Below are 27912 nucleotides of genomic sequence, written 5' to 3'. Positions count from 1 at the left end.
AACTGTAACAATACTTTTTAGTATTTAAAAGGCAATTTCTTATTAATCTACTTAATTGACATTCATGGTTTGAGATGTTCCATATTTTTCTGCTGTAACTTTGTTCCATTATCTTGTGGCAAGCAGAAAAGTTTCTTGCATTGAGCATAAAGTGATTGTCTAAATGGTTTTGTGGCTAAAAGTTTATTTGCCCTGCTCAGGAGAAACTGTAGATTTGTCAATGCCAAGATTAATCACAGGACAGATAGGAAGCCTTGGTCATCGATAATTGAATCTGCAAGAGCATAAAATGGGCACAGTGGCTCTGCAGCAGAAATCTTAGTGAATGTAAAGATATGAGTCCCATCATTAATGTTATAAAAGGAAATCATTGTCATACCCATATCCAGGAAAATGCCTACCCTGCATAGCCCCGGACTCACCCAGAGGGTGGTTAAAGGCACAGTGCTGGCTGCAAAGAGCTTTTCTTTCCTCATACCCACAGTCCAGAAGCCAAGTTCTGAAGACCACACAATTCTCTTGTCGATTAACAGATTCTTTGCAGGCACCCAAATCCCATTATTTGCCTGTCCCCATGTCTACCTCCCAGTAATGGTGTCCAGAGGTGAAGCGAGGGGAGCCCAGGACACAGATGACTTGTTTGAATCTCGGCATACTCTGTGCGGTTCTAAGAAATCCACAATGGACACTCCACAGGTCTTCAGAAATGATGAGTCGATTGTTGGCTGTGTCAATATCTGACGTCATATCCACTGTGGAAAGAAAAAAGGTAAATCAGCAAATAGAAACTTCCCTGCATTCCCTGATTCCGTAGAATTTCTTAGAGAAGATTGAAATAGAATTGTAACAAATCCCTCTTGTTCATAGTAAGCATTCTTTTTACATTTTGATTATTCAAGATTTCTTGAGATCCATGAAGGCAGAAACCATGTCTGTTGTTTACTCTCAAAATCATAAAATTTAGCAGACTCTGTTCAAATATAGATATCTAATGAATATCTAGATGATGGAAAAACTATTTATTATACTATTAGATCAGGCTGTGTACGGCGGCTTATGTCAGTAATACCAGCAATTTGGGAGATTGAGGTGGGAGGATCGCTTGAGCTGAGGAATTTGAGACCAATCTGGGCAACATGAAACCACATCTCAAAAAAATTTGTGTGTATGTGTGTGTGTGTGTGTGTGAGTGTGTGTCAGAAATCCAGATTCTCAACCAGCCTAGTCCAATAGAAGGAGAATTTGCATTTTATAAAAGATCTCCAGGTAATTTTAAATTTTTCTGTAGACATTAAAAAAAATTCAACAATACTTTAAATAACATATTATAAGCTTGTATATCCAGAATTATTGTCACTTCCACATGGGGTACACCCATGTTTCAAGGGCCCCATAGCCACTGGTGGCTACCATATTGGGCAGCACAGGTCTAGGGTATGACTTAAATGTTATATTTTCTTCAAAATCTTCTGTTGTCTCTAATCTATACTCACAGCTGAGAACTGTTGTTGGGTGGGCATACACATTTTAGGTGCCAGAATTCAGCTAATGCCCCTATTTAATGGAGAGCCTTTTGAACAGTTGCTTTTTCCAAGGCTGTTGGTGGGCCGAGCGCAGGTTATACAGATTTCTGACCTTGAAACTTCCGCATCCTTGGGTTTTAATATAGAATTCTTCTCAGCTGGGGCTCCACTTCCTTGATTTTGGAAACCAGTTTTCCCAGCAGGAGATGGGGCGTGATGTCTTTTATAGTGACCACAGAGCAGATGGCGCACAATACATCATCCCCATTGGGCTCCTTTGGAAATGAACTGATACAGCGGAAGCAGCAGAGATATCCACACTCTAGGTATGTGGGTTTTTATTATTTTCTTTTTTCTTTTCCTTTTTTTTTTTTTTGAGACGGAGTCTTGCTCTGCTGCCCAGGCTGGAGTGCTGTGGTGCCATCTTGGCTCACTGCAGCCTTTGCCCCTGGGTTCAAGTGATTCTCCTGCCTCAGCCTCATGAGTAGCTGGGATTACAGGCACTGCCACAGCACCCGGCTAATTTTTGTATTTTTAGAAGAGACGGGGTTTCACCATCTTGGCCATGCTGGTCTTTAACTCCTGACCTCGAGATCCACCCACCTCAGACTCCCAAAGTGCTGGGATTACAGGCGTGAGCCAATGTGCCTGGCTAGTAAGTGGGTTTTTCAGGATAAGATAGGCAGCCGACACATCGACTTGCTTCTTTAAAATGTTCTGCCATGGCCAATGTCTGCAGAAACGGTACATGATATTGGAGTTCAATTAACTGAATGACAATACTCCTTTAGGCTCTTTCACTTTTACATGCATAGAGACATATCAGTGCCTGCTATAAACAATCACTAGTGATAGGTGATAAAAACACTATAAAATACATATAAGAAGAGTCATGGCCTTGAACTTCTAATATCGGAAATGCTAGTTGGAATGAAGGACATGATTCTTCAGTTGAGAAGCTGGTGTTGTGAAGGGTCTAGGCCCAGCGGTCCAGCCACATGTGGTTCTTGAGCACCCCAAATGGGGCTTATTGGAATTGGGATGTGCCTTTGTTGTAACCAAGCGAGTTATAGAGAAACGCCACACTTTGAGACTAATTCAGGAGTCCTTTATTAGCCGGCGACCGAGAGACGCTAACGCTCGGAATTCTCTCGGCCCTGAAGAAGGGGCTAGATTTTCTTTTATACTTTGGTTTAGAAAGGGGAGGGGGAATTGAGCTGAAGCAATCTTACAGAAGTAAAACAGGCAAAAAAGTTGAAAAGACAAATGGTTACAGGAAAACAAACAGTTCCAGGTGCAGGGGCTTTAAATTCATCACAGGGTGATAGGAGGGGGGCTCCAGACACAAATGCAGGGGGCTTTAGAGTACTGTCACCTGAGCAAATTCCTGGGAACTGTGGACATAGTTTGCCACAGTATCTTATCAGTTAATTGCACTCTTTGACGCGCTGAGAGTCAGCTTGCACAAGTTAAGTCCTTGAGGGAGGGAGTGGGTAAGGAGCCCTTAATGTCTTGCAAATGAAGGAGCCGAATGGAATCCATCCAGCTTTCTTAGCTAAGAGAGAGTCAATCAAGTTAATGTAAGTTAGCGTATCACACCTTCAGTGTAAAATGCGCACTGGATTTTGAAGAGGTATGAGAAAAAGAGAATGTAAGTTATCTTATTAAGAACTTTGGCCAGGTGTGGTGGTTCATGCCTGTAATCCCAGCACTTTGGGAGGCCGAGGTGGGTAGATCACGAGGTCAGGAGTTCAAGACCAGCCTGACCAACATGGTGAAACCCCATCTCTACTAAAAATACAAAAAAAATTAGCTGGGCTTGGTGGCGCACATCTGTAATCCCAGCTACTCAGGAGGCTGAGGCAGGAGAATCACTTGAATCGTCTCCGGGAGATGGAGGTTGCAGAGAGCTGAGATCGCACCACTGCACTCCAGCCTGGGCAACACAGTGAGACTCTATCTCAAAAAAAAAAAAAGAACTTTTAAAGATTGATTACACGCTGAAATAACTTTTTTGTATTAAAATTTACATTTTGTAATTTAATGTGGCTACTAGAAAACTTATCATTGCATATGTGGATTACATTATATTTCTACTGGACAGCTATGTACTAGACTCAGAGACCCTCCAACACCCCTATCCCCTGCAAAATCGTTCTAATCTGGCTGTGGCAAAAGCCCCTCCTAAGTAGCTGAAAGGTTGAATAGGTCAAAGAGAGAAACTCCATCATCATCTCATCGAGTTGGCCACACTATGATTAAGGAAAATGAAGACTGTCATTTCTCCAGACTGGGTACTGAAAATTTAAGTTCTGCTGTCTGCTTTTAGAAGGTGACCCAGGGTCTCTCTAAGTGCACACACTGTGCCTGGCATTGAGCTGCCCTCAAACAATGTTGCCGAATTCATAGTGACTCCATCCTGCAGCCCTTGCTCTCTAATACCTGCCCTTGGTAGGAATCTAGTAAGTCGAGAAAAACTACATAAGCCTGGATGTGTGTCTCCTCCATTAGGTTCTCCCCTGGCCTCCAGTAGCTTCCACCGACAGCTCAGTTTTGAGTGAGCTCCACTTACAAGGGGTTTTTATTACAAGAGCCTCTCCTCCCCTCTCATTTACATCCTGCTTATCTTCCTTAACCCAATCAGATTTTGATTTAATCATGCCGTAATTTTAACTGAGGTTGTAAACTGGTTACCCCAAGTAAAGATTATTTTAACTTAAGGGTTTTTAAAATTGATACAGACTAATATTGCCATCTCATTCTAAATTAGGCCATGTATATTATGGGTGTTGATAAGATTTGGGATTTCTGTAGCTATCTGCTTAGGAAAAATAAAAAGATTCAGGATTAGGGCTGAAACTGTTACAATGAAATATCTGGCATTAAGATTAATCTATGAATAGGGCTAGTTTCAAGTAGTTTTCTCATGAGAATAATATCTCCTCATGTTTTGATCAAAGAAATCTATCAAACTTACTAAGATGTTTTTTCTAAAATCACACTCATGTGACCATTTATTTAAAGGGACTTTTTCTCCAAGATCGTGAAAATGCACATTTAGAAGTTTGGTTTAAAAGAAACCCTAAAACTGTTCACATACAATCAAGCAGAGCCTTACAAGATCCTGTTTTTGTTGTTGTTTTGTTAGTTACAGTATTAATACTAAGATTTTTAAAAACTTTGATAATTTTACTGTTTCCATTACATCACAATATATATAAATATAAAAGTATACATATTTAAATGCGTATATATACATTTATAAACAAATGTATGGATACATTTGTTTAAATGCACACTGGATTTGAAAGGCTGAAAAAGAATTAAATTATCTCATTAAGATATTTGAGTGTCAGGCACCTGCAGTCCCAACTACTTGAGAGGCTGAGATGGGGTGATTGCTTGAGCTGTGGAGTTCATGCCCAGCCTGGGTATCATACTGAGACCACCCCACTGCCCCCCAAAAATCATCTTTGAAAACTGCATCATGTAAACCCATGTTTAAATGGCAAAACATTTTGCCAATTAAAATAATTGTGACTTGATTTTTTTTCACTTTCTTCAACGTGGCTACTAGAAAACATGTAATTACATAGACGAGTCACATCATATTTCTATAGTATACTGATACATCCAACGTGCTGGAAACATTGTTTCTGATAACCTCAGGAATGTCCAAAGTGGGCATTCAAAATAGAAATAAAAGAGAGACCGGAGAGATTCACCAAGTCAATTTGCACCCTGAGCTCTCCTTGGGTGACCTCTGGCTACCATACTGGGAATAAATGTGGGAACAGGCAAAGAGTGGGATTTCACCATTTTCAGGTTGTTCTCTGTTGGCATATACAGTTGCTACTGATTTTTATGTGTTGATTTTATATCCTAAAACTTTACTAAGTTTGTCATTTCTAACAGTTTTTTGGTGCGGTCTTTAGGTTTTTCTAAATATAAGATCATATCATTTACAAGTAAGGCCAGTAAGACTTCTTTTCCAATTTGAGAGCCTTCAATCTTATTATTTGAGATTGGTCTGTTCAGGTTTTTTGTTTCTTTCTGATTCAATCTTGGTAGGTTATATGTGCCCAGGAATCTGTGCATTTCCTCTAGTCTTCCCAATTTGTCAGTATTAAAATATAGTCACTCATAATAGTTTCTAATGATCCTTTGTATTTCTGGATTTCCAGTTGTAATGTCTCCTTTTTCATTTCTGATTTCTTAATTTATTTGGGTCTTCTTCTTCTTCTTCTTTTTTCTTAGTTAGCCTAGCTCACAGTTTGTCAATTTTGTTAATCTTTTCAAAAAATCAACTTCTTGGCTGAGAACAGTGGCTCATGCCTGTAATCTCAGCACTTGGGAGGCTGAGGTAGGAGGATTGCTTGCAGCAGGAGTACAGGACCAGCCCGGGCAACATAGTAAGACCCTCGTCTCTACAAAAAATAGAAAAATTCACAGGGCATGATGGTGTGCACCTATAGTCTCAGCTACTTTAGAGGCTGGGGTGGGAGGATTGCTTGAGCCTGGAGTCCAAGGCTGCAGTGAGCCATGATCATGCCACTGCACTCCAGACTGGGTGACAGAGCGAGACCCTATCTAAAACAAAAAAATGAAAGACAAAAAACCCAACTTTTCCTTTCACTGTGAGTTTTTTAAGTCTCTATTTTGTTTAGTTCTGCTCTGATCTTTTATTATCTCTTTTCTTCTCATTTTGGGTTTGGTTTGTTCTTGCTTTTCAAGTTCTATGAGGTACATTGTTAGCTTGTTTATTTGAAAGCATTCTACTTTTTTGCTGTCAGCATTTATTGCTATTAACTTCCCTGTCAGTACTGCTTTTATTATACACCATAGATTTTGGTATATTATGTTTTCATTTTCATCTGTTTCAAGACATTTTTCAATTTCCATCTTCATTTCTTCATTGACCCAATGGTTCAGTAGCATGTGACTTGATTTATATCTTTTTGTAGGCTCCAAAACTCTGTTTGTTATTGATTTTTTGTTATATTTCATTGTGGTCTGAGAAGATTACTTAATATGATTTCAATTTTTAAATATTTTTGAGACTTGCTTTGTGACCTAACATGTGGTCCATCCTGGAGAGGATCCCATGTGCTGAGGAGAAGAATGTAGATTCTGCAACTGTTCATCTGTTAGCTCTACTTAGCCTATAATGCAGCTTCAATCTGACTTATTTTACATTACTTTATTTTATTTTACCTAGATGATCTAGGCATTTCTAAAACTGGGGTGTTGAACTCCCTAATTATTATTGTATTAGAGTCTCATTAGCTCTAATAATATTTACTTTCTATATCTGGTGCTCCTGAGTTAGGTGCATATATATTTATAATTGTTATATCCTCTTGCTGCTTTGATCTCTTCATCATTATATAATGACCTGCTATGTCTCTTTTTATGTTTTTTGACTTAATGTCTATTTTGTCTGACACAAGTGTAGCTACTCCTGCATGCTTTTGGTGAACCTTTCGTTTTTCAACATTAGCAATGAATCCCTGTTTCTTAGGGGACAGGGCTGTGAAAACGTATCCCTAAAAGTCCCAGGAGGCTGAGAGGCTGAAGAAAGCTGACAAATCCACTTTCTTAGAAACATTTAATAGGGACTTATGAACAGAAGCCCTGTCTATGTCTCCGGTTGTGGTAAGAGAAGATAGTGAATCCCTGCACCATTATCCCCCAGACCCTCTAGGGCTTATATACCATATAGAAAGGGTGAATTACAAGGGATGTGTAGGATAATTGAAGTAGAGTAACATCAAGGTTGTTTGACCAAAGGGCAGGATTCATGGCAAGTACCTGCTCTTACACAGAACAACAGGTAAACTGGAACTCTTAGAGGCCTCCTGGAACAGGGGTTCATCAGAGGCCAACATGGCAAATATCAGCACCCAAGATAGAGTTGCTTTGGCCTCCACCCTTCACCCCCACCCCCAGTCCAGCTCTTACAATCTCATGTGCCCTCCTCTTCCACGATGGGCCCTCAGTCTTTAGGGAGGATGCTTGATATGGTATACTTTTAGCAGCAGGGCATTGGCAATGGAAAACAGATTGGGCCCAGTGGGATTCCAAATAAGGGAGAATCACAAGCTGTTGAATCATCTCTAGTCTTGGAATGAGAAAGGCATCTTCCCCAGCACAGAATGGGCATCCATTGGTTGTCTGATGGAGGCTGTGTCAGAATCCTATTCAGTTAGGAATCGGGGCCAGGTGACACTAGGTCAAGGCAGGGTAAATGTGACTTGAGGGCTACAGGCAGGAACAGGCTTTCACAGGACTCAGCTACCCTAGACCCCATCTCACCAGGCCCTACTTTCTCCCTCACTCATGTGGCTCAGCCCCCACCTTGTGCCCCTACAGCCTGAGGTCAGAGACACATTCATCCCAGGGTACCTGTCAGCAGGTGAGGTGGCTTTGGGAGATGCACTTCCCAGCCCTCCTCATCAGTCCTGGGCACTGTCAGGCCCCCCCTCAGTGTTTCCAGCACAGGTGCCTTCACCAGAGCTGCTGGGTGGCCAGGCCAGGCCTGGACAGAGCCACCTTGCGGCAGATAAATGTGTTCTTTTGGAACTTAATCACAGCCACCCCAACCCCAAATCACAACTTACAAGTTGGAAGGAAACTTAAGGGTCCTGATTCTCACCACTCTTTCTGGCCCCATTTCATGGATGTAAAGGCTGAGCCTCTGCAGCAAAGAGAACCACGTTCGTCTCCACCTTCTCAATGGCCCTGCTGGGTAGAACGCCAGACTCCTCTCTCGATGTCCCCCTGGGTGCTGTCCCAAGACTAAGCCCTCTCTTTACTGCCTTGTAAGATATTACAGAAAACTGACAGGACAAAAATAAGGAAACAGGAGGATAATACAGCTAATGTTGACCCACCCACAATCAAATAACTTTTTTTTTTTTGATACAGAGTCTGCTCTATCACCCTGGCCGGAGTGCAATGGCACGATCTCTGCTCACCGCAATCTCCGCCTCCGGGTTGAAGCAATTCTCCTGCCTTAGCCTCCTGAGTAGTTGGGATTACAGGCACCCATCATGCCCAGCTAATTCTTCTATTTTTAGGAGAGAGAGTGTTTCACCATATTGGTCAGGCTGGTCTTCAACTCCTGACCTCAGGCGATCCTCCCACCTCGGCCTCCCAAAGTACTGAGATTACAGGTGTGAGCCACTGCACCCAGCCTCAAATAACTTCTTTTATACGGTTGTCTGAAACAAATTGCAGATATCATATCTATTAGTCTATATATTCCATTCGTGTCTCTAAAAATATGGACAAAAAATACATCATTACAAACCTAAATAAAGATTATCAATAATTTTTTTTTTTGACATGAAGTTTTGCTCTGTCGCCCAGGCTAGAGTGCAGTGGCATGATCTCAGATCTCCGTAACCCTCATCTCCCGGATTCAAGCGATTCTCCTGCCTCAGCCTCCCAAATAGCTGGGATTACAGGCACTTGCCACCACGTCTGGCTAATTTTTGTATTTTTAGTGGAGAAGGGGTTTGGCCATGTTAGCCAGGCTGCTCTCAAACTCCTGACCTCAGGCGATCCGCCCGCCTTGGCCTCCCAAGGTACTGGGATTACAGACATAAGCCACCGCACCCGGCCTCAAATAACTTCTTTTACACAGTTGTCTGAAACAAATTGCAGATATCCTATCTATTAGTCCATATATTCCATTCGTGTCTCTAAAAATATGGACAAAAAATACATCATAACAAACCTAAATAAAAATTATCAATAATTTTCTTTTTTTGACATGAAGTCTTGCTCTGTGGCCCAGGATGGGGTGCAGTGGCATGATCTCAGATCACCTCAACCCTCACCTCCCAGATTCAAGCAATTCTCCTGCCTCAGCCTCCCAAGTAGCTGGGATTACAGGCACCTGCCACCATCTCAGGTGATCCACCCACCGCGGCCTCCCAAAGTGCTGAGATTACAGGCGTGAGCCACCACACCCAGCCATATCAATAATTATTTCCTATTAAAAAAGAATGTTTCCCATCAAATGCTTCACAAATGTCCTGCATTTTTTTTCACTAGTTTGAGCTGTTGTCATTTTGTGCTTTTGCATTTCATTTCTATGAGAATTCAATATGGTTTGAAATTCTGACCGGTGGCTGTGTTTTTAGGCCTGCTCCATCTGCAGGTATCTTCCTAATAGGTTTTTAATTTCCTTGCAAGGCAGAAACTGAGGAGCTAAGGGTTGGTCCCAGGACCTTTCCATGGTCAAGATGCAGCCCACGGCCTCCCCAAGCTGGAACTGAGTGCTTCTCTCTGCTTCTGTGTTCCCTGCAAAGGCGTTTCTTAAACAGAAAGGTTTACCAAGGTTCAGCGTGACTTCCACAGATGCAAAAAAAGGGACAAAGTGAAGTGGGTGTTCTCCATTCAAATGCCTATTTTATTTTTTGGAGTTGTGTGGTTTTCTTTTTTTTTTTTTTTTTTGAGACGGAGTCTCGCTCCGTCGCCCAGGCTAGAGTGCAGTGGCGCAATCTCGGCTCACTGCAAGCTCCACCTCCCGGGTCCACGCCATTCTCCTGCCTCAGCCTCCCGAGTAGCTGGGACTACAGGCGCCTGCCACCACGCCCGGCTAATTTTTTGTATTTTTAGTAGAGACGGGGTTTCACTGTGTTAGCCAGGATGGTCTCGATCTCCTGACCTCGTGATCCGCCCGCCTGGGCCTCCCAAAGTGCTGGGATTACAGGCGTGAGCCACCGCGCCTGGCCTGGAGTTGTGTGGTTTTCTATAACATATAAAAACTACAGATAGGATTGGAAGGCTGTACTTGAAAGTCTCAATTTTGCGGGGGGGGGGGTGGGAGGGACAGGGAGACAGAGTCTTGCTCTGTCACCACGCTGGAGTGCTGTGGCTCAATCTTGGCTCACTGCAACCTCCGCCTCCTGGGTTCAAGTGATTCAGCCTCCCGAGTAGATGGGACTACAGGTGTGCACCACTGCGTCCAGCCTCAATTTTTTTTTTTTTTTTTTTTTTTACTTTGTCCTTAGCCACTGTCAAGGAATTGTCCTCCTTTTCAGAAGCGGGAAGCAGAATTCCTTCATCGATAGAGCATAGGAACTAAGCTCAGGTAGACCTGAGATGGTCTCCCAGCCCAGCCACTTACAAGCCATTTGACCTTGGGCAAATTATGCAACATCCCTGAGTCCTTTTCTCATTTTCTGTAAAATGGGATTCAAAGCAGTTATATTATTGACAAGATTAAATGAGGTAATGTGGGTGAAGCTCCTGCCTTTAATAGGGGCTCGGTAAATGATAGATTCTTAATAAATCTTAGAACCATCCTAGAAGCCTTGGCCATGTATCCAGGGTATCTTTGTTCCTGTGTAACTTCTTTTCTTTCATCTGTTGCCCAGAAGAACTATTGAGGTACACAGTAGATGCTCAGTAAATTTTTGTTGAATGAATGGCGGAGCTTCACTACTTTCTTTGTCCTATGGTCTTTTTTTTTTCTGAGACAAAGCAGGATTCTGTCTCCCAGGCTGAAGTGCAGTGGTGCTATCTTGGCTCACTGCAGCCTCCGTCTCCCGGGTTCCAGTGATTTTTCCGCCTCAGCCTCCTGAGTAACTGGGATTACAGGCACGCACCACCACGCCCAGCTAATTTTTTGTATTTTTAGTAGAGATGGGTTTCATCTGGTCTCGATCTCCTGACCTCAGGTGATCCACGTGCCTTGGCTGGGATTACAGGCATGAGCTATAGCACCTGGCCCTTATTGTCTTACAATAGTACTTTACACCGTGAGCTTTGCTCTAGGAGATGTCCTGAGAGAGCCTGTAAGAAATTTGGCCAGGTAGATTTGGGAACTGCTATAGATTCTAGCCCTTTCCACAGATGAATCATACATGTTACTGTTTTAGCAGCTTAGAGAAGTCATGGGGAGAAGTCTCCCTAGCCTTTTAAGCTTGGTATTTTCTAATCTCATTTGACTGTATAGGGTAACATCGTGCCTTGATGATGCTGTGATGAGGCTTCTAATGAGTTAATGTGTGCCAAGCATTTAGGACAGTGCTGAGCAAAGTGGGTCCCACAAAGGGGCTGCTGTAAGCCCGTCCATCCTTGTGCAGATATTTTTGTGGGAAAGATTTCTAGAAGAGGCACATTCAAAAATTTGATGGGATCAGGTGTGGTGGCTCACACCTGTAATCCCAGCACTTTGGGAGGCCGAGGCAGGAGGATTGGCTGAGCCCAGGAGTTTGAGACCAGCCTGGGCAACATGGTGAGATCCCATCTCTGAAGAAAAAAAAAAAAGTTGATAGATTCCTCAGAATTACTTTTCAAAATCTAATCTGCCATGATCTAAAGTTTGTTTCTCCAGGAAATAGATAAGCAGCTGTTTTCCTGTACCACATGTGTTCTGGATCCTTCTCCTCCTCCCTCTGCACCATAACTGAAGATGGGATGGAGCATAACTGAAAGTCACCCCTCTCTTCTCTCTCTTGCAGAAGCCTGGCTACAGATAAGGGACCAAAATGACTGACTCAAAATATTTCACCACGACCAAGAAAGGTATTACTTGTTTAATAATGGGCCTTGTCCTACGCTTTCTCTTCCTGTCCCTTCTGTTTTCCTCCTATGGCGGTAGGGAGTAGGGGTGGGAATGAAGGCCTGGAAACATGTGGCAGGAATGACCTAGAGCTTGTGGTAGATCTAGAAAATTGAACTGTTGATGATATAAGAAATTGACCACTCCTTTTAGAGCTCAGAAAGGGAAGAACATTAGCTCCAAGTGCTAAAATAATTATGTTTTTGTTTCCAGGGGAAAGAAGACACACAATCCTATCAGCATCCCCACAGCAGAGAGAGAGTGTGTGTGTGTGTGTGTATGTGTGTGTTTCCGTCCATGTACCTGTGTGTCCTTATCCAACGGCACATGTTTTTCTTTTTTTTGAGATGGAGTTTCACTCTTGTCGCCCAAGCTGGAGTGCAGTGGCGCGATCTTGGCTCACTGCAACCTCTGCCTCCCAGGTTCAAGTGATTCTCCTGCCTCAGTTTCTGGAATAGCTGGGATTACATGTGCCCGCCACTATGCCCAGCTAATTTATTTATTTATTTGAGACTGAGTTTTGCTCTTGTTGCCCAGGCACGAGTACAATGGCACCAATATTGGCTCACTGCAACCTCTGCCTCCTGGGTTCGAGCGATTCTTCTGCCTCAGCCTCCCAAGTCATGGGATTACAGGCATGCACCACCATGCCTGGCTAATTTTGTATTTTTGGTAGAGATGGCGTTTCTCCATACTTGTCAGGCTGGTCTCAAACTCCCAACCTCAGGTGATCCACCAGCCTCAGCCTCCCAAAGTGCTAGGATTACAGGTGTGAGCCACTGCACCTGGCAGTTTTTTGTATTTTTAGTAGAGATGGGGTTTCACCATGTTGGCCAGGCTGGTCTCAAACTCCTGACCTCAAGTGATCCACCCACCTTGGATTGAGTCTATTGAGTAGCTACACTGAAATTTGCTAAGCTAGGCTTATATCGTTGGATATTTTGGTTGTTTCTGCTTTTAAGGAAATGGAGGATGTTGTCGTAGCTGACAAATGTGCTTTGACCCTGTAAGCATCTTTCTGGCCAGCCCTTCCTTCCTCCCTCCTTCCTTCCAAGTGATACTGACACATGCCTGCCGACCAGATGAAAAGAGTCTGTTGTTGGATCAGCTGATCCAGGACCCGAAGTCTGCCCCTTATCAGGCATTTCATGTATTGGTCTAGCTGGTTTTTACTGAGAACCTACCATGTGCAGTGGAAGAGAAACAGAGCCTCTGACCTGGTGTTGCTCAAGGTTGAGCAGGGAAGACAGTCTGTAGAGTAGTAACCACACTGAAGTGTACTGGGTCCAGGGGGGACTGTGGGAGAGCTCTGGGTGGAGCTGGCCAGATCGATGGGGGATAGGAAGGGGAAGGAGTGAGTGCTGTGCCTGTGACACATTTGGGGAAAGGAAGGTAGTGGGCATGAGCTACCGAGGAGGGTGATACAAGAAGAGGTTAGAGCCAGGCACAGTGGCGCCCCAGGTGGTGGCTTGGGTGGGAGGATTACTTGCTTGAGCCCAGGAGTTCGAGTCTAGCCTGGGCAACTAATTGAAAAAAGAGAGAAAGCAATTGGAGAGGTACACAGGGATCAGTCTTGTGGGGCTTAGTGAGCCACAGGGTGAACGTAGTGCTGAGTGTATTGGAGTCCCAGGGGTGGGTTTTGTTGTTTGTTTGTTTTTTTTGAGACAGAGTCTCTGTCACCCAGGCTGGAGTGCAATGGGAAGATCTCTGCTCACTGCAGCCTCCTGGGTTCAAGCAATTCTCCCAAGTAGCTGGGACTACAGGCACGTGCCACTATGCCGAGCTAATTTTTTTATTTTGGGGTTGGGGTTTTTTAGTGGATTTCTTTTGGGAAGAGAGATGTGTGGACAGACATGCCTGGGTTCAATGCTCCAGCCAAAGAGACAAGGAAACAGGTTTAGGAAAGCAAAGTGAGTATCTTGGGTAGGCCCAAGCATAGGGATTGAGAGCATGGGCTTTGGAGCTAGCAGACCTGGTTTTGAGTTTCAGTCCTACCACCTGCTGGCATTGGGTTTACGTTACTGAGCCTCTCACAGCCTCCATTTGCTCACTGCGAAATGGAGGGAAATGCAGAGTTGTGAGGATGAAATAAGAAAATGTGTGGGAACAAGTTAGTATGGGACTGGGCTTAGAGAAGGGCTCAGGGGGGCTGGGCACGGTGGATCACGCCTGTAATCCCAGCACTTTGGGAGGCCAAGGCAGGTGGATCACCTGAGGTCAGGAGTTTAAGACCACCCAGGCCAACGTGGTGAAACCCCGTCTCTACTAAAAATACAAAAATTAGGAGGGTATGATGGTGCCCGCCTGTAGTTCCAGCTATCTGGGAGGTTGAGGCAGGAGAATTGCTTGAACCCGGGATGTGGAAGTTGTGGTGAGCCGAGATCGCACCGTTGCACTCCAGCCCGGGAGACAGAGTGAGACTTCGTCTCAAAAAAAAAAAAAAAAAAAAAAAAGCAAAAAACCATCTGCAGTGGCTCATGCCTGTAATCCCAAGGCTTTGGGAGGCTGAGGAGGGCAGACCACGAAGTCAGGATTTCAAGACCAGCCTGGCCAACATGGTGAAACCCCATCTCTACTAAAAATACAAAAATTAGCCAGGCATGACGGCACGTGCCTGTAGTCCCTGCTACCCGGTATGCTGAGGCAGGAGAATTGCTGGAACCCGGGAGGCAGAAGTTGCAGTGAGCTGAGATGGGGCCACTGCACTCCAGCCTGGGTGACAGAGCGAGACTCCATCTCAAAAAAAGAGAGAGAAGGGGTCAGGAAATGACATCTGCCCTCCTAACCTGTTATCAGGGTCCTGACTATCTGTCCATGGCAGGACCAGACAACCCTACTTCCTCATTTGTTTTTCTCACATCATGAAGTTCTTCAGAACAATTGATTTCATGCTTGAGCTCTCATGGAGCAGCTGAATTCCCATTTTCAGAGCTGAGCAACCACTTGTGTCTCAGGAAGTGAAATCCTGAGCAAGCTGTCTTAGAGGTTTGAGGAAAACAGGAAAGGCCTCCATGTGGGAATCCACAAATCCTGCTCTCACCCCGCAAGCCTTAAGTACTCAGGTTCTATTGCACTGAGCCTTTTAAGGGTCTTTTGTTGAGTGAGGGTAGCTGAGGACAGCTTTGCCTTCCACTGGGTTTTTAGCTCCCTGGCTGAGCAGAGCCTGCCATCATGTTTTTGATGCTTTTGTCTTCCTCAGAACCTTTGTAGCTTCCATGGTTCCTGTTGCTTCAATCCAGAGTGGCCTCTAAGTTTCTTTTTTTTTCTTTTCTTTTTTTTTTTTTTTGGAGAGAGGATCTCACTTTGTGTCACCCAGGCTGGAGTGTAGTGGTGTCATGGCTCATGGCAGCCTCGACCTCTGGCCTCAAACAATCCTCCAGCCTCAGCCTCCCGAGTAGCTGGGATTACAGGCTTGCACCAAAAAATCGCGCTGATTTTTTGTATTTTATTAGAAACGAGGTTTCACTACGTTGGCCAGGATGGTCTTGATCTCCTGGCCTCGTGATCTGCCTCCCTCGACCTCCCAAAGCGCTGGGATTACAGACATGAGCCACCGTGCCCAGCTGATCCTCAGCCTCTTAAAGTGCTGGGATTACAGGTGTGAGCGACTGCACCCGGCCTACAAGTTTCCATCTTGTTAATTCCTGTCCTAACAGTCATCCCTCACTGTTGCCTGGCCCACCTGAGGCCAGGCGCCTGAAGCTTCCCTCAGCCAACAGCATAGGATGTCTTACGTGCCTCCCTCCGGTTCTTTTGGAAGTTAGATACTGGGAATTGTCCCCTGCCAGGGTAGGGAGGGATCACTCATGCTTGCCTCCTTTCCTTAGGGGAGATCTTCGAGCTGAAGGCAGAGCTCAACAGTGACAAGAAGGAGAAGAAGAAGGAGGCAGTGAAGAAAGTGATTGCATCGATGACCGTGGGCAAAGATGTCAGGTGTGTAGGAGTAGGCCTGGTGGCAGCTGGAAGCTGGCTGACAGGGGAGGGTTTATAGCTTGGGTCCACTTCAGTCTCTCCTTTAGGGTGTCTAGGGACCCATGTCTCCCCTCATACAGCTCCCTTCATAAAACTTTCTTCCCAATAGAAGGTTTTGTTTACACAGGAATCACGAGCCCAGACACTGACAGGTCAGGTGGTGATGGAGTGAGTTAACTGGAGTAGGTGGGAAAGGCAGCAGGTGATGGAGTGGGTGTGGCATGAACCCTCTCAGAAACTCCAGAGGATCAGTACTGGCTGGGGAAGAGGACCCAGTGTGGCCAGGTCTTCTGGTTTTTAAAAAGAATGGGAAATCTGGGCCAGGCGCAGTGGCTCACACCTGTAATCCTAGCACTTGGGGAGGCCCAGGTGGGCGGATCTCGAGGTCAGGAGTTCGACACCAGCCTGGCCAATGTGGTGATATCCTGTCTCTACTAAAAATACAAAAATTAGCCGGGCATGGTGGCACATGCCTGTAATCTCAGCTACTCGGGAGGCTGAGGCAGGAGAATTGCTTGAACCTGGGAGACAGAGGGTGCATTCAGCTGAGATTGTGCCACTGCAGTCCAGCCCAGGTGACAGAGCGAGACTCAGTCTCAAAAAAAAAAAAAAAAAAAAAGAAGACGAAGAAGAATGGGAAATCTGGATTTTTCATTTTAAATCTCCCTGTCTTAAGTGGCCAGATGATATTAAACAAACACTGTGTGGTGCAAGTAAAATACATGTGCAGATTGGATTTCTCTAATTTGTCACCGGTGTGCAGCCTCTATCGCACCCGATAGCTAAAGCAGGTCGTGTGTAGAGCGGCTGCCGCACCTTGGCTCATGCTTCCCCTGTGGGAGCGCCCAGTGACCCAGCTTGTCTTCCCATCTTTGAAAACCCATTCGAGGCTGGGTGCGGTGGCTCACACCTGTAATCCTAGCACTTTGGGAGGCCGAGGAGGGTGGATCACAAGGTCAGGAGTTCAAGACCACCTGGCCAAGATGGTGAAACCCCATCTCTACTAAAAATACAAAAATTAGCTGGGTATGGTGGCGGGCACATGTAATTTCAGCTGCTCAGGAGGCTGAGACAGAGAATTGCTGGAACCCAGGAGGCAGAGGCTGCAGTGAGCTGAGCCTGCACTCCAGCCTGGATGACAGAGCGAGACTCCCTCTCAAAAAAAAAAAAAAAAAAACCATTCAAGGTCTGCCTTCCCCGCATTCCTGCCTTCCCTCATCACCCCAGCTCACTACCCCAAACTCAAAGCATTTGCCTCTGTTCCCATCACCCAGCACTAAATGGAGACTGTTCTCTTGTTATGTGTACTTGTGTTTACCTGCTCACCAGATTGTAAAATCTCAAAGGCAGAGACTGGATTTTAAAACAGCTTGATATTTGCACAGTATTTGAGAGTCTGCACAGAACATTTTGAGATTTGTTTTCTCAGTAGTTCCTTACAATTCCCATATTGTAGGTAATGACAGTTTTACTGCCAAAGAAATAAAAACATAAAGTGACTGCCTAAGAGTCACATGGTTTATGGCAGAACTAGGACTCAAGCCCAGTTCTTCTGAAATCCAAATCCAGGCCACTTTCACCCATGCCCTCGTGGTGCCCAGCCCTGTGCCTCATAACCTGGGTGCTGAGGTGGAGCAGCTCCCATCCAGGTCCCAAGATAGGCTCCCACTGCTCCAGACGTCCCCATGGATCACCCCCCAAGCAAAGGACCTCCTGCCAGCAGCTCCGGGAAGGGGCTCTGCAGAGAGCCCTTTGGAAGCCAGAGCAGAAAGGGAACAGGTACCTGCTGGACAACTGGGCCTCCTTCCAAGTCAGATTCCTTCCAGGACAAAGCTGCTCTCCTTCACCCAGAACACCACTGTCACCTCCTCACAGAGGAGAAACATCTTTGTTCTTCCATCTCAAAAGAGCTGGCTTTGCTGATATGATAAGCCCCAAAGAGCGAGTCGGCCTCATCAGCAGTTTTTCCTCCTCCCTCCTCCCCATTCTTCCTGGTGCGTCATCTTCCAAGGTGACACATACATTTTGGCTTTTGGGGATCTGCCTGTTGGGGATCAGGAAGTTCACTTTGTCCTCCTAAGTCTCTATGTTGACACGTCCTTGACTGTAAATACATAAGAATTGAGAGGGGATATGATGATTCCAGAGATAGAAAATTGATCTCTAACCAAATTTCACATCTTGAGAAGGCCTGTGACTCTGGGACCACGGGTACCATGTTGAGAAGGGTTCCACCCAGTGGTCATGAGCATGGACCTTGTTCTCAGACCTGGCTCCTCCAGGCAGGTTATTTGACATTTATGAACCTCAGTATTCTCTGAAATGGGGATCATCCCCTGACTTCTAAGGGCAGTTAAATGAGATCAAGCATGTAAAGCTCTTAGCACCAAGCTTGGTGTATGGTGTGTGCTCCATGCATGCTGTGCTGGTTCTTACTGGGTGCCAGAGCTTGTGGAGAAAGCAGCGTGAGCCATCCTGCTTCCCTGCGACCCTCCAGAACCAGCAGCCCAAAGTAAGGGGCCACATTAAGTATCAGAGAGGGAGAAAGGATCATTTTCATTTACTCAGCATCTCCCAGATATCAAGGACCAGATACCTAAGTATGTTGTCTCATTCAGTTATAAAGGCCCTGGGAAGTGAGTTTCAGTTGCATCTTTCTTTAGGACGGTCAGCTGGGTCTCTCTGCTAAACATCAAGTGCTGTGACACAGGCTCATACAAAAACTACTCCCTAGGACCCCCTATGCCCCCCTCCCCAGCCCCCACCTGCAGCAGTGATGCAGGAAAGCTGAACCCCTGACTCCGGTGGGCATTTGCTCAGCAGGGTGTCCACAACTCTGCCTGCCCTTCTGAAGCTGAGATGAGACAGTCAGCCCCATGCATGCAATGACAGGATGTCTGGAAATGCAGAGGCCCAAGGAAATTCATGTCTGGATCAGGTTTTCCCTTTGACTGTGGCCCAGGAATGGGAATGAGCTCCTGGGAGGGCGTTTGCTTCCCTAAAGAATGAAGTGGCATGGAAGGGGACAGGGATTCTCTACATTATAGGGTTGTGGTAACCCCAATCTCTTGGTGACCACAAAGTAAGAGCAGGGAGGCATCCTCAGGTGTCTCCAATGCCCCAGGGTCTCAGCAGCCACGGGAAGGTCCAATCTGACCACAACCACAACTCCAGGGGTCTCACTTCCATCCTCTCTGGTGTTGCTTTAGCCTGTAGGCTGAAGATTAACCCCCACCCTAATCGCTTGTGCTATCTATAGATCACAGACAATGGTGTGGAGAAATACTTGCCTTGCTTACCCCCACCTAGTCACGTACCCCATGCTTGCTCAGTCTATCACGACCCTGTCACCTGGACCCCTTAGAGTTGTAAGCCCTTAAAAGGGCCAGGAACTCTTTCTTCGGGGAGCTTAGTTCTGTTCTTGAGACGCAAGTCTGCCGATTTCCCGGCCGAATAAAGCCTCTTCCTTGTTTAACCCGGTGTCTGAGGAGTTTTGTCTGTGGCTCATCCTGCTACATTTCTTGGTTCCCTGACCGGGAAGCGAGGCAGCCTCTTAGGCAGCTTAGGCTTGCCCTGTGGAGCATCCCTGCAGGGGACTCCGGCCAGCTTGAGCTACGCGGTTCCTGAGCATGCTCCTGGGTAGGCATTTGCCCCGGTGCAATGCCTCGTCAGAGCAGTGCATGGCAGGCCCCCGCAGAGGATCAGTGCAGTGGCTGAACACCGGGAAGGAACTGGCGCTTGGAGTCCAGATATCTGGAATACGGTAGGACTGGTCTTGGGAACTTGCCCACTCCATTTGAGTGGAAGCGTGGCCTGATCACCCACGGCATGCCTTTATCGGCACTTTGGTTTTGGTTTTGATTTTGACTTGGTTTGAATTCCTAGGCAAACGGGCGTGCCTTTATCAGCACTTTGGTTTTGGTTTTGATTTTGACTTGGTTTGAGCTGCTTGACAGGACCGGTCTTGGGAACTTGTCCACTCCATTTGAGTGGAAGCATGGCCTGATCACCCACAGCGTGCCTTTATCAGCACTTTGGTTTTGGTTTTGGTTTTGATTTTCACTTGGTTTAAACTGCTTGACGAACGGGCGTGCCTTTATCTGCACTTTGGTTTTGGTTTTGATTCTGATTTGATGTGAATTCCGTGAACCCACTAACCCACGGATGGCCCAAATGCATTCAGTCTGTAGCGGCAACTGCTTTGCTGACAGAAGAAAGTAGAAAGATAACTTTTAGAGGAAACCTCATTGTGAGCACACCTCACCAGTTCAGAAGTATCCTAATTAAAAAAAAAAAAAAAGCAAAAAGGTAGCTTCATAACTCAAAAATCTTAAAGTATGGGGCTACTCCGTTAGAAAAAGATGATTTAACATAAACCCCTGAAAATTCCCTTAACCCAGCAGATTTCCTAACAGGGGATTTAAATCTTAATTACCATACAAAGGTCTGACCAGACCTAGGAGGAACTACCTTCAGGACAGGATGATAGATAGTTCCTCCCAGGTGATTAAGGAAAAAAAAACACAATCAGTATTCTGTAATTGAGGAAAACTCTTGTAGAAGCAGAGTTAGGAAAATTGCCTAATAATTGGTCTGCTCAACTTTGCCACTCAGCCAAGCCTTGAAGTACTTACAGAACCAGGAAAAAAAAAGCCATCTATACCAATTCTAAGTTAATTTGGACTAAGCAATGTCTTATTTATAGCAAAGGATAATTGAAATCCCACACTTACAAGGTTTTCAACAAAAGTAAAGTTGTTTTGCTAAAAGTTAACAGTGTAACATGTATTATGGTAATTTCTAATCTGTGGCCTTAGAAAATCTAGTCCACAGACATGAAGGAAGTTTGCTTTGGAAAAGAATGGTTATCATCTTCGAAAAAAGAAAAAATTGGGGGTGCAAAAGGAATGTTATATGGAAAATTCTTGTCCTGAAATAAACTAACTAGTTGTTTAAAGAAAGGGATGTTTCCAATAAGTCAGAAAGTTGAGGCATGTCGAAGAATTGTCTGTGAAAGTCATGAAAAAAAGTGTTAGAAAAAGAAATTTATGCAAGAAATGTTGTATAATTTAAATTAATTAGTCCTCCTGAATGTAAAACTATTGAAGAAACAGTTTATGTGCAAGGTGTATAAGGTAAGTAAAATATGCCTTTGGTAAAAGGATTATAAGGAAGCATAAGAATATGAATTTTTACCTACATTAAAAGGTTACAAAAATAGTTTTGAAGGTTTAAGCAAGTTTTGAAATGTTAATTGTAAAGAAAATTCTGTGTGTAAACATTGGCTAAAGTTAAAGGGGTATCATCCAGTTTTTCTGTGAACTGGACATTAAAATAAAAACACAACGGGTTTTTCTTAAAGCGCTAACCTGCTGTTTGACAAAAATTATAAAAGGTTAAAAAAGCCTATAAAAATCTTATGGTCAGACATTAAAAGTTGAATAAATATGTCTACAAAGTTTTATTAAAACTGTTTAACATTAATAACACTAATATAAAGGTGAAATCTAGCTTATCTGGTATAAACATACAGGAAGCATTGTCAAATATAAAATGGTGTTTGGCTTTCTTTGGTCTAAAAACTAATAAAAATAGGTGCTAAAGGAAATTTCTCAGTAAGAAGGCACCAAGGACTATAAAGTCCACTGCTGATGTCCCTACATTTAAAATAAAAGGTCCATTTCTTAAAAATTATATACTTGATTTATCTCCCACTTTCCTTTCCCTCAAAACTAAAAGTCTTTTAGCACATGTACCACCCCGAGAATTTCTGGTAAACCAGCACCAGCCTGAAGATCATGTTCTCATCAAAGGGTGGAAAGAAGGAAAACTCGAGCTGTATAAACATGTGGCTGCTGGGCCATTGCATGGTCTCTGTTGATGAGGTTCTGAATTTTTAATTGTATATATTTAAATTTATTTAACCATGAAGAGGCACATATATGACTGAGAACCACACTAGATGGGACAGCTCCAGAGATCCAGAAATGAGGAAGACAAGACTCCCCTATCCTGGTGTTTTTTTCTGCAGAATCGTTTGCTGCTCTGATCCTACCATACATTTAAGGTTACTTCCTGGGCATCTGCATAAGGGCCAGTCACTGTGTGGGGCTGGGGATATGACCATGAGGACAATATCCAGGTCCAGAGGGATTCCAGCAGGGGGCGCTCTTGCACCCAGTGGAAGAGCATGGCCCTGCACACCCTGTCTAGACAAGATCACAGCGGCAGGAGCAGAGAGGTAGGGGCAACTCGCTGTCCTCAGGAGCTCACCCTCATCTCCAGGGACCCTGAATCATAAGCTGGGCAGGCTCCAGGATGAGTGTGGGGCTCAATAGGCTGGACAGGCTGTGAAGAAAACCTTTCCACACCTGCACTAGATACCAGCCCAGGGGTGATCTAGAACTCATCTCTGGAGTGTGTTCATTAAAACATTCATGGGGCCTAATGTGTCTTCCCCAGGACTGAGCTCTGGGATAAGAACAAATGAGGAAGAGACAGTCACTGCCCTGGCAGCAAACACCCATGGCCAGGGTTCCTCTATCCATCTGTGGGAAGACCCCAAGTTTGATACTGAAGATGTTAAACCATCTCCAAAGTAAGTGGAAACTGAGGTGTTGTGGATTCGATGACCTGGACCCTAGGGTCAGTCCCCACCCCTTTGCTGAGCTCACCCTGCCCTGGAACTCGTGTCCCTCCCCACCTCCCCTGCTACTCGGGAGCGCTGCCACTGCCCTGGCCAAGAACTGGGGGGCTACGTCTAGTTGAAACATATTTCTGGGCCAGACAACCATTGGCCAACAGTGTCTACTGAAGGACCATTCCCCAGGTGACTTCCAGAAGAGGTGAAAAATGAAAACTTATCTGTCCCAGACCCAGGAAGATCAGGTCTGGGACCTCTCTGTGTCTGGCCTGACCCTGAAGTCCATCCCTACTGACTCGTGTCCTGTCTGCTCTGTGTCAGAAAAGTGGGGACCTGATTCCTGTTCTGCCCCTCTCACCAATTTCTGCTGGTGTCATTGCCATCATCACACAAAGAGATGGGGAAGACATGGTACAATAAGGAAGCTGCTTTCTCGAGGCACTTAGGATGATGTTCACACCATACTCTCGGCAGACAGGAAGGCCAGGTCCTGCTCACTCCAACTGAGGTGGGGGGATCACTTGAGATCAGGAGTTCCAGACCAGCCTGGCCAACATGGTGAAACCCCATCTCTACTAAAATTACAAAATACTAAACATAAGAAAATAGCCTCATTTATAACACAAACCCCCAATATATTATGTTACCCATGTCTTACCATCATTTCAAACAACTTTCAGATTTATTTTCAGTTCCTGATTTCTACCACTCAGACTGGGCTGGAGGAACTCTAAGAAACAGACTTCCTGCTGACCCTCCTGCTCCGACTTCTAGGCATGTCTTTGGTGCAAATGTGGGCTCCTCTTCCTCCCTCATGCAAATTAACTCTTAAAGATTAGTCCACCAAGTCTTCTAGAGATATCTACACAAGTCTGAATTTTAAGGTAAAAGTGGCTGAGATTTAAGTTGAGAGTCAGTGTGGCAGATTCCTGGCTCTTAAAGGTTTTTACTTTGAAGAAGATAAAATGCATGAATCCTACTAGGGCAGAAAGAGTTCACAATAGGTGTTTTGGTGACAAAGCACTTGTTCTACATAGCCCAAGGGTAAATGCCAATACCTATTCAGAATGGAGCAGGGAAATTGAAAATAAATTTGAACGCTTCTAATGTAAAACTTCTGTTTCATATCCTGGCTCTCAGCAGCTGAGTGACCTTGGGCAAGTTATATAACCTTTCTGAGCCTTCATTTTCTCACCCTAAAATGGAGATAATATCAATATTGTCTCCATCACTCCCAACCCCCTTACTATTTGGTAAGAATTACATGAGATAAAATATGTAACTAACACAGTACCTGGTACAAAATAAGGAGTCAGTTAATATTAGATCTTCTTCCTCCACCAGCTCAGCTCCTTTCCTCTTCCTTATCCAGGAAATACAGAAATATATGGATTCACCGTAGAAGCTGGACCCAGCTCCTCAGATGCAGCAGATGGATTGGCCCACTCTGTAATGACCCAGGATGGGGCGGGTGTTCTTCTGCATGGTGACTGAGAATGTGAGCCTCAGAATGAAATGTAAGAACAGCAGGCTCCATGAGGACTGGCTGCAGCCACAAACTGCAGGTCACTGTTCACAGGTGCTCAGTAGGAAGAGAGAGAGGCTTGTGATTTTTTTTTCACCCAGATGGAAATATGCATTCATAAAATGATTTGAGCTGGGTGTGGTGGCAGGCGTCCGTAATCCCAGCTACTCGGGATGCGGAAGCCGGAGAAGTCCTCAAACCTGGGAGCTGATGGGTTCATTGAGCCGAGATTGTGCCATGTTAACCCAGCCTAGGGGAAAAGAACAAGACTTTGTCTCAAAAAAATATATATATAGATAGATATATCTACAATATATCTATCTATATATAGATAGATATATCTATATATATCTATATATAGATAGATATATCTACAATATATATATCTACAATATATATCTCTATATATAGTAGATATATATATCTACAATATATATCTCTCTATATATAGATATATATCTACAATATATATATCTATATATAGATATATATATCTATATATAGATATATATATCTACAATATATATATCTATATATATAGATATATATCTACAATATATATATCTATATATATAGATATATATATCTACATATATATCTATATATAGATCTATATATCTACATATATATATCTATATATAGATATATATCTACATATATATAGATCTATATATATAGATATATATATCTACAAATATATATCTACTATATATATATCTATATATATATATAGATATACTTACAGAGGTAATCTTCGCGTCTCTCCTTTGCCTACAATAGGAGAAAGGAAAACGCCATGAGGATTAGATCATGCTGGGCCCTGTTGGCACAGGTCTATTATTCACTTGGTGACAGTAGAAAACAACATGTCAAACAGTGATCAAGTCACTGGCCCCCCGAATGAAGCATAGACGATGCTTGTGGAAAAGGCAATGGGTTTTCATGGAATATTTAGCAAGTCTTTGTTGGCTGGCAAATACAAAATTATTTTTCAAGAAGAAAAAGTTGCTACTGAGAAATATGCTCACTACCAGATAATTTGTAAGTGATGCGCTCATTTTTGACTACCATCATCCAACTGGCCTCAGTTGGTCATAAACTCCAGTGACAGTCGCTAGAGTCCATGATCAACCAAGACCTGGTGGATGACGGCAATCAAATATGATATTCCCTTGATGTTCCAGCCAACAAAAAAATTGTATTTGTCTTCTATAATATACATGGTCAGATTTTTATATCTTCATTTCATTAATAAGGCAAGAGGGCCCAGAAAAAACATTTCTGTTCCAGACAGAGAAATGCATCTTACCATCTCCGGTGTCATGAGGTCTTCAAGATGGACAGATGGGTATTCACTGAGATCTTCGACCAAATCTAGGAGAACATAGTGACAGTCAGTGCATTGGTGCTGCTGAGGAATCCCACAAGGAGCCTTGGGGGATGTGGACCGGGGCTGGAGTGTGTGGAGGTGGGCGGTTGACAAGCTTGGACCGAGCTGTTGCTGGACCATTCTCCTTGGTGTTGAAGGATGGCAAAGGAGAAGGGCAGAAGGAAATGAAAGAGCCTTGGCTTTCTAGCTAGAGCAACTTCATCAATGCGAAATAGTCACCTTAAGAACCGGTTAATACAGAAAAGCACTGTACTATAGAAACAGGAAGTACATTTGTGGCTGCCTAGATCCAGGGGCATGGGAGATGGGAAAAACAGGAGTGACTACTAGTGGGGTTTCTTTGAGGGGGGAATAAAGAGGTTCTAAGATGAGATTGTAACAATGGTTGCACAACCGTGTAAATATAGTAAAAACGCTGAATCACGTACTTTAAATGGGTGAGTTGTTTTGCATGTCAACTATGTCTAAATAAAGCTGTTTAAAAAAAAAAGTATATGTACAGACTTGACGCTGGGCTTTCGACTTTCTCTGCAATAAGAGAAAAAAAAAACACCATGAGGATCAGATCATGCTGGGTTCTGTTGGCAAAGGCCTTTATTCACTTGGTGAAATAAAAAACCGGATGTGAAACAGTGATCAAGTCACTGGCCCCCAAATAAAGCATAGAGGATGCTTGTGGAACATGCAGTGGGTTTTTTGGAATATTTAGCAAGTCTATGTTGGCTGGCAAATACAAAATTATTTTTCAAGGAGAAAAGGTTGCTACTGAGAAATACACTCACTACCAAACAGTTTGTAAGTGATGCCGTCCTTTGACTGCCATTTTCAATCAGGCCTCAGCTGGTCATAACCTCCAGTGACCGGTCGCTAGAGTCCATGACACTGAGGCCTGAATCATGATGGCAGTCAAAAATGATACTCACTTGATATTCTAGAAGCCCCAGAAAAAACAAAAAGCATTTCTCTTCCAGAGAAAGAAATACATCTTACAATATCTGATGTCATATTCTCCTCCACACCGCCGTGTGCAGACGCCTGCACATCTTCAATGGGACCTAGGAGAACATAGAGTGACAGTCAGTGCATTGGTGCTGCTGAGGAATCCCACAAGGAGCCTTGGGGGATATGGACTGGGTCTGGAGTGTGGAGGTGGGCGGTTGACAGGCATGGACTGAGCTGCTGCTGGACCATTCTCCTTGGTGTTGAAGGAAGGCAAAGAAGAGGGGCAGAAAGAAATGAAAGAGCCTTGGCTTTCCAGCTAGGGCAACCTCATCAATGTCACCTTAAGAACAGTTTAATACAGAAAGGCACTGTATGGTTCAGCGACAGCATCTCATCACACCTCCTCCCCATTTGAAGGTCCAGGCAAATCCCCAATTTTATGAAATGTTACAAGATCATTTAACTTCTGTGGATCTACATATCCTGCCACTACATTGATCATCTACCCTGTTGTGTTTTTCAAATTGTAGTGAAGCATGCATATTTATCATTTTAATTATTAAGTGTGCATTTTAATGAGATTACATTCAATGAGTTACATTCAGGATGCTGTGTCAATAATGAGAAATGTCTAAATTCATAATCTTAGCTTCAACTTGGGCAATGAGAGAAAAACAGCAGTGTGATATAGAACAGAGGAAAAATAAATAACGATTGCAGAATACAATGGAATAGGAAACAGAAAATCCTCAGAGAAAATCAACAAAACCAAAAGTCAGTTGTTTGAAAAGATCAGTAACATTGATAAACCTCTACCTTGGCTACCCACAAAGGAAAGAAAGAAGTCACAGTATACTAATAATATCTGTTTAAGAAGAGTCAAATCAAAAAATAGTAAATAATAAAGGAATATCCTGAACACATCTGTGCTCACAATTGGATACAGTAGATGAAATGGGCTAACTGTTAAAATCTATTTTAGAAGACCAAAACTCAGGAGAAATAGATCATCTGAATAGGCCTATATTTATTTTAGAAATTAAATCAATGATTAATATCTTTTCAAAAAACTAAAACAGTATATTCAGATGATTTCACTGGTAAATTCTACTGAAATTCTTACAAAGAAAAATGTAGTCTTACCATACAAGCAAGTAATCATAATCCTAAGTATTTCCTCAGTTACATTTTAAAAATTGTGTTTCCAAACAAGACACAGGAAGGTTTATAATAGCTGTATTCATAATTGACTAAACTGAAAGCAAATGTCTAAATATTTGAGATGTCCTTTACTATCAAAGTTGAACTAAGCCTGGGCAACATGGTGAAATCCCATCT

At 43.8% G+C, this 27912-nt stretch overlaps 1 protein-coding gene, 1 long non-coding RNA gene and 1 pseudogene across 3 annotated transcripts in view; 1 reads left to right on the top strand and 2 right to left on the bottom strand.

The window, feature by feature from the left end:
- RFPL1 (ret finger protein like 1) overlaps positions 1 to 27912 on the bottom strand; it is a 54547-nt gene that overhangs the window by 7266 nt on the left and 19369 nt on the right. Inside the window, exons 3-8 of the mRNA NM_001393612.1 lie at positions 26623 to 26687; positions 25552 to 25616; positions 24986 to 25013; positions 24012 to 24492; positions 17858 to 18178; positions 583 to 752 (exon numbers count right to left, since the gene is read on the bottom strand). The gene's annotated coding sequence lies outside the window, so the exon portion shown is untranslated. The remainder of the gene's footprint in view (positions 1 to 582; positions 753 to 17857; positions 18179 to 24011; positions 24493 to 24985; positions 25014 to 25551; positions 25617 to 26622; positions 26688 to 27912) is intronic.
- Positions 234 to 1849, bottom strand: RFPL4AP6 (ret finger protein like 4A pseudogene 6; annotated as a pseudogene).
- On the top strand, positions 19750 to 26122 carry LOC102723305 (uncharacterized). Of its 2 annotated transcripts, none has more exons than XR_007068059.1 (4): positions 19750 to 19837; positions 22537 to 22672; positions 24090 to 24234; positions 25533 to 26122. It is a non-coding gene; the product is annotated as an uncharacterized LOC102723305 (long non-coding RNA). The 2 variants fall into 2 exon arrangements; XR_007068060.1 differs by lacking the exon at positions 19750 to 19837 and adding an exon at positions 22178 to 22315 and having other exon boundaries at positions 25533 to 26053.

Source organism: Homo sapiens, chromosome 22, assembly GCF_000001405.40.
Source record: "Homo sapiens chromosome 22, GRCh38.p14 Primary Assembly".
Lineage (NCBI taxonomy): Eukaryota > Metazoa > Chordata > Mammalia > Primates > Hominidae > Homo > Homo sapiens.
The sequence above is the reverse complement of the archived record's forward strand: the minus strand, read 5'-3'. Positions and strand labels throughout refer to the sequence as shown.